This window comes from Homo sapiens, chromosome 11 (assembly GCF_000001405.40).
Source record: "Homo sapiens chromosome 11, GRCh38.p14 Primary Assembly".
Lineage (NCBI taxonomy): Eukaryota > Metazoa > Chordata > Mammalia > Primates > Hominidae > Homo > Homo sapiens.
In genome coordinates, this window is record NC_000011.10 from 47,206,366 (window position 1) to 47,213,492 (window position 7,127).

Genomic DNA, 7,127 nt, shown 5'->3' on the forward strand with positions numbered 1-7,127 from the left:
TGGCAAGTGTCCTAATAAGAGTAAGGCACATTGGCCAGGTGTGGTGGCTCACACTTGTAATCCCAGCACTTTGGGAGGCTGAGGCAGGCGGATCACTTGACCCCAGGAGTTCGAGACCAGCCTGGTTAACATGCTGAAACCCTGTCTCTACTAAAAATACAAAAATTAGCTGGTTATGGTGGTGCACACCTATAATCCCAGCCACTCAGGAGGCTGAGGCACAAGAATTGCTTGAACCCAGGGAGCAGAGGTTGCAGTGAGCCAAGATCGTACCACTGCACTCCAACCTGGGCGACAGAGCAAGACTTTGTCTCAAAAAAAAAAAAAAAAAAAAAAAGTGAAGCACATACCAAAAAGAGTAAGGCAAGCCAGCGTGGTGGCCCATGCCTATTTTGCCAGTTACTTGGGAGGCTGAGGTGGGAGGATCTCTTGAGCCCAGGAGTTCGAGACCAGCCTGGGCAACACAGTGAGACCCCATCTCTAAAAACAAACAAAAGAGCGAAGGAGAAGGAGGTCAGATACAGAGAAATAGATGCACAGAGGAGAAGATCCTGGGAAAATGGAGGCAGAGATTGGAATGACAGGCTGTAAACCAAGGGATGCTAAAGATTGCTGGCAGCCACAAAAGCTAGGAGAAAGGCAAGGAAAGATTCGAGGCTTGGTGCAGTGGCTCATGCCTGTAATCCCAGCACTTTAGGAGGCTGAGGCTGGAGGATCACTTGAGGCCAGGAAGTTCAAGACCATCCTGGTTAACATCTCTACAAAAACTAAAAAAAAAAAAATTAGCCAGGCATGGCAGTGCATACCTGTACTCTCAGCTACTGGGGACGCTGAAGAAGGAGGATCCCTTGAATTTGAGGCTTCAGTCAGCTGTGATCATGCCACTGCACTCCAGCCTAGATGACAGAACAAGACTCCATCTCAAAAAAAAAAAAAAAAAAAATTTTACCCCGGAGCCTGGGGAGTGTGGCCCTGCCAACACTTTAATTTTGGATTTCTGGCCTCCAGAACTGTGAGAGAATATATTTCTGTCATTTGAAGCCACTCATTTACAGTAACTGGTTACAGCCACCCTGGGAAACGAATACACCTGGTCTCTGCTGTGGTGCTCAGTGTTACCAACCGGTCCTCACTTTCCCAGTTCTTAGCTGTGTCCCTCTGCAAATCTTAGCACCTCTCTGATTTTCAGTCTCCTCCTTTGTAAAACGGGAAGAGTAAGTCCTACTCTGCCAGGTTGTTGTGAGGCCATGGTGACAGAGTGCTGAGCGGAATGCCAGGTGTACCACAGACGCAACTTACGCATGAGTTCCCATCCTCCCCCTTCTCCACCCTGGTCCAACCTCACCTTGGGCACAGAGCTCCCATTGCAAGGCTGAGGAGCAGGGTTCCTATACCTTTTCCTGGGACTCGGGTTCATTGGTGATGTCCAGAATAGTGCATGACCCTGCCTTCTTGACAAATCCTCCCAGACATCTCATCAGCATCTCAAATCCAATGTGTCCAAAGGTGAACTCTTGATCTTTCCTTCTTTTTCTGTCTCTTTCACAGTTTACCTCATCTCAATAAATGGTATTTCCAGGTAGCTAAACATCTGGACGTCATTTTTGCTTTCTTTTTTCTTTTCTTTTTTTTTTTTTGAGACAGAGTCTCACTCTGTTGCCTGGGCTGGAGTGCAGTGGCATGATCTTTGCTCATTGCAACCTCCATCTCCTGGGTTTAAGCGATTCTCCTGCCTCAGCCTCCAAGTAGCTGGGATTACAGGCATGCGCCACCACACCCAGCTAATTTTTTTTTTTTGAGATGGAGTCTTGCTCTGTTGCCCAGGCTGGAGTGCAATGGCGCAATCTTGGCTCACTGCAAACTCCGCGTCCTGGGTTCAAGCAATTCTCCTGCCTCAGCCTCCTGAGTAGCTGGGATTACAGGCGCATGCCACCATGCCAAACTAAATTTTGTAATTTTAGTAGAGACGGGATTTCATCATGTTGGTCAGGCTGGCCTTGAACTCCTGACCTCATGATCTTCCCGCCTCAGCCTCCAAAAGTGCTGGGATTACAGGCATGAGCCACTGTGCCCGGCCGTGATGATGGTGTTGTGTTTTGTTTTTTGTTTTTTTTTTTGAGACGGAGTCTTACTCTGTCGCCCAGGCTGGAGTGCAGTGGTGTGATTTCAGCTCACTGCAACCTCCGCCCCTGAGTTCAAGCGATTCTCCTGCCTCAGCCTGCCGAGTAGCTGGGATTACAGGCACCTGCCACCGTGCCTGGCTAATTTTTGTGTTTTTAGTAGAGACGGGGTTTCACCATCTTGGCCAGGCTAGTCTTGAACTGCTGACCTCATGACCCACCTGCCTCGGCCTCCCTGGGATTATAGGCGTGAGCCACCATGCCCGGCTGTGATGATGTTTTTCTCTTGGTTTATCATGGCCACAGAGTAGCCTTGTCTGGTGTTCATGTATTGTGAAATTATTTACTTCAGTGGAACATCAAGGCCTAGCTGATAGTACCAGGCCCACTACCACATGCCAGGGCTTCATTTCCTTTCTCAGAACTCACACCCGTTCCCAAATGTTACCAAGCTGTTCCTTGCCTAAGAGGCTCTTTTCCATTCCCCAGCCAAACACTACTTTTTTCAAGTCAAACTGCACAAAATTCCATCTCTCCTGTGAGGTCTTCCCAAAGACAGTGAAACCACCTTTGCAATATTATAACTGATACAGTGAAAGTGATCTAACTTAACCAACTCCATCTTGTTTTTAACCTCCAAGCTGTCCTTGTTCATTCCTGGGCGTAGGCTGAACTAACTTTGGGAGAAATTTATTTATAATTTACAGTGAAACAAAGACAATGGCTGGGCACAGTGGCTCATGCCTGTAATCCCAGCACTTTGAGAGGCCGAGGTGGGTGGATCACTTGAGGTCAGGAGTTCGAGACCAATCTGACCAATATGGTGAAACCCCGTTTCTACTAAAAATACAAAAATCAGCTGAGCATGGTGGCGTGTGACTGTAGTCCTAGCTACCAGGGAGGCTGAGACAGGAGAATTGCTTGAACCCAGAAGGCAGAGATTGCACCGCTGCACTCCAGCCTAGGCAACAGAGAGAGACTCTGTCTCGAAAATAAATACATACGTACATACATACAATACATAAAACAAAGACGATAACAGCCCTTTCCCAAAGCAGACCATCTTCCTTCTTGCCTAGGGACTAGGTTGCCTCTGTAGGACTAACATTAGCTGCAAGATTATAAATAATTATGGTTTAGGAGTCATGCAGCTGGAGGATACAAGATTCTGACCCTCCCTAAACTGCTCCTAAGATCAGTGCTTGAGATATTTTGCAGACCCTGCACTTGATGGATCAGCTGGCCCCACCCAGGTCGATAAACTGGCTCACCTGATCTTGTGGCCCCCATCCAGGAACTGACTCAGAGCAAGAAGACAACATCGACGGCCTATGATTTCATCCCTGACCAGTCAGCACTCCTGGCTCACTGGCTTCCCCCAAATCACCAAGTTATTCTTAAAAACTCTGCTCCCCGACTGGGCATGGTGGCTCATGCCTGTAATCCCAGCACTTTGGGAGGCAGAGGCGGGTGGATCACCTGAGGTCAGGAGTTCGAGACCAGCCTGGCCAACATGGTGAAACCCCGTCTCTACTAAAAATACAAAATTAGCTGGGCATGGTGGCGCATGCCTGTAATCCCAGCTACTCTGGGTGCTGAGGCAGAATTCCCTGAGCCCAGGAGGTGGAGACCGCAGTGAGCTGAGATTGCGCCACCACACTCCAGCCTAGGTGGCAGAGCGAGACTCCGTCTCAGAACAAAACAAAACAAAAAACCAAAACACCACCACCAACAACAAAAACTCTGCTCCCCCAATGCTTGGGGAAACTGACTTGAGTAATAATAAAACTCCGGTATCCTGCACAGCTGGCTCTGCGTGAATTACTCTTTCTCTGTTGCAATTCCCCTGTCTTGATGAGTTGGCTCAGGCAAAGTGAACCCCTTGGGTCGTTACAACAGTACTACTGTCTCCATAGAATTAGCTTTCCTGAGTGCATCCAAAAATCTTAATTGGTGACCAGGCATGGTAGTTCATGCCTGTAATCAAAGCAATTTGGGAAGCTGAGGCTAGAGGATGGCTTGAGCCCAGGAGTTCAAGGCCAGTCTGGGCAACATAGTGAGACCTTGTCTCTATAAAACCAAAAACCAAAAACCTTGGTGGGCATAGCATACTTAGTCTTCAAATGTGTACCTACCTTGAAGTATTTTACTTGTTTCACATATATTTTTATTCAGTTCCCAGTAGGTTGTAAATCTTTTAGAGGCAAAGTCCATTTCTTACACTTCAATATCCCCTGCAACTGAGCACCCTGCTGAAGGACAGGTTGGTCTTAGTTGGCATGTTGGTTGGTCTGAATAAGGGGAGGGGGCGAACAGTTTGCTTCTGCAACACAGCTCTGAAAACACAGCTCTAGGCTAGCAGGGGAGAAGCTCCCAGCTTGCCCCTTTCCCAGGCAAAACCATTTCTTTTTTTTAATTTTTAATTTTTTATTTTTTGAGACAGAGTCTTACTCTGTCGTCCAGGCTGGAGTGCAGTGATGTGATCTCAGCCTTTTTGTGTTTTTTTTTCTTTTTTTTGAGACGGAGTCTCACTCTGTCACCCAGGCTGGAGTGCAGTGGCGCGATCTCGGCTCACTGTAAGCTCTGCCTCCCAAGTTCACGCCATTCTCCTGCCTCAGCCTCCCGAGTAGCTGGGACTACAGGCGCCCGCCACCACGCCTGGCTAATTTTTTTTGTATTTTTAGTAGAGACAGGGTTTCACCGTGTTAGCCAGGATGGTCTCAATCTCCTGACCTCGTGATCTGCCCGCCTGGGCCTCCCAAAGTGCTGGGATTACAGGCGTGAGCCACCACGCCTGGCCGTGATCTCAGCTTACTGCAACCTCTGCCTTCCCGGTTCAAGCGATTCTCATGCCTCAGCCTCCTGAGTAGCTGGGATGACCGGCACGTGCCCCATGCCTGGCTAATTTTTGTATTTTTAATAGAGAGGGGTTTCACCATGTTGGCCAGGTGGGTCTCAAACTCCTGGCCTCAGGTGATCTGCCCACCTCGGTCTCCTATTGGGATTATAGGCGTGAGCCACCGCAACCGGCCTTCTAATTTCCCTTTTGGAGCATTCATTCCGTTGCAAGAGCTTATTTAATTTTTATTTATTTATTTATTTATTTATTTTTGAGACAGAGTTTTGCTCTTGTTGCCCAGGCTGGAGGGCTATCACGCCATCTTGGCTCACCGCAACCTTCGCCTCCTGGGTCCAAGTGATTGTCCTGCCTCAGGCTCCTGAGTAGCTGGGATTACAGGCATGTGCCACCATGCCCTGCTAATTTTGTATTTTCACTAGAGATGGGTTTTCTCCATGTTGGTCAGGCAGGTCTCGAACTCCCGACCTCAGGTGATCCGGCCGCCTCGGCCTCCCAAAGTGCTGGAATTACAGGCGTGAGCCACTGCGCCTGGCCAATTTTTATTTATTTATTTAGAAACAGGGTAAACCTCTGTCATCCGGGCTGGAGTGCAGTGGCACAATTGTAGCTCACTGCAGTCCCAAACTCCTGGGCTTAAGCGATCCTCCTGCCTTGGCCTCCCAAGTAGCTGGGACTACAGGCGTGTGCTACCGCACCTAGCTAAGTTGTGTATTTTCTAATTTTTTAGACAGGGGTCTCAGTATTGCTGAGGCTGATCTCCAACTCCTGGGCTGAAGCGATCCTATCCTCTTGCCCTCTCGAAGTGCTGAGATTACCAGCATGAGCCACCACACTGGACCAAGAGTTGATTTTGGTAACATCTTCTGTCCCTATCTGTCTGAAAAATCCTTGAGAGTAGGATCTACCATTAATGCATTAAACAAATTATTATTTTTTGTTTGTTTATTTTGAGATGGAGTCTTACTCTGTAACCCAGGCTAGAGTGCAGTGGCGCTATCTCAGCTCACTGAAACCTCTGCCTCCCAGGTTCAAGTGATTCTCCTGCCTCAGCCTCCTGAATAGCTGGGATTACAGGTGCGTGCCATGATGCCCAGCTAATTTTTTATATTTATTTATTTTTATTTTTATTTTTTTGAGTTGGAGTCTTGCTCTGTCGCCTAGGCTGGAATGCTGTGGCATGATCTTGGCTCACTGCAGCCTCCCTCTCCTCGGTTCAAGCGATTCTCCTACCTCAGCCTCCTGAGTAGCTGGGACCACAGGCAAGTGCCACCACGCCCCAGCTAATTTTTGTATTTTTAGTAGAGACGGGGTTTCACCATGTTGGTCAGGCTAGTCTCGAACTCCTGACCTCAAGTGATCTGCCTGCTTCATCCTCCCAAAGCGCTGGGATTACAGGCATGAGCCACTGCGCCTGATGGTATTTTTAGTAGAGAAAGGGTTTCACCATGTTGGCCCGGCTGGTCTTGAACTCCTGGCCTCAAGTGATTCACCTGCCTTAGGCTCCCAAAGTGCTGGGATTACAGGCTTGAGCCAATGCGATGGCCTACCATTAATGCATTTTTGTATATCTCCTCCCACCCCCACAAACTGTCAGGCACGGGGCTTAGTGGGTGGAGGAAAGGCCCAGCAATGCCTGAGTAAGCCCAACTCCTGCCTGCCTCTTCGCAGAAACTAGGGTGCATCCAAACTGTCTCTTCTCAGGCTAGGCAGGACAGCGCGGCCTCACCTGTGAACCTTCAAGACTTGGACTTTGGCTGAAGCGAGGGCGTAGGAGTTCTAAGTACCGCTGGCTGCACGCCCTCTGGCCCATCACGTCCCAGGCTGCTCCTAGGTGGACACCCAACAGGTTAGGCAAGTCTTAGTTAAAAGCAGTGAGAGGCCAAGAGGCTGGGCATGGTGGCTCACGCCTATAATCCCAGCATTTTGGGAGGCCGAGGCAGGCAGATCACAAGGTCAGAAGATCGAGACCATCCTGGCCAACATGGTGAAACCCTGTCTCTACTAAAATACAAAAAATTAGTCAGGCGTGGTGGTGTGTGCCTCTAGTCCCAGCTGCTCCGGAGACTGAGGCAGGGGAATCGCTTGAACCCGGGAGGCGGAGATTGCAGTGAGCCGAGATTGTGCCACTGCACTCCGGCCTGGGCAAC

General features: G+C 49.1%; 1 annotated feature.

The window, feature by feature from the left end:
• Positions 3,348-3,527: a silencer, noted in NCBI's record as "fragment chr11:47231264-47231443 (GRCh37/hg19 assembly coordinates)". NCBI's record gives its function as "represses an EF-1alpha promoter that drives an FKBP-Casp9 reporter gene in an ReSE screen in HepG2 liver carcinoma cells {active_cell/tissue: HepG2}" and the evidence as "EXISTENCE:reporter gene assay evidence [ECO:0000049][PMID:32094911]".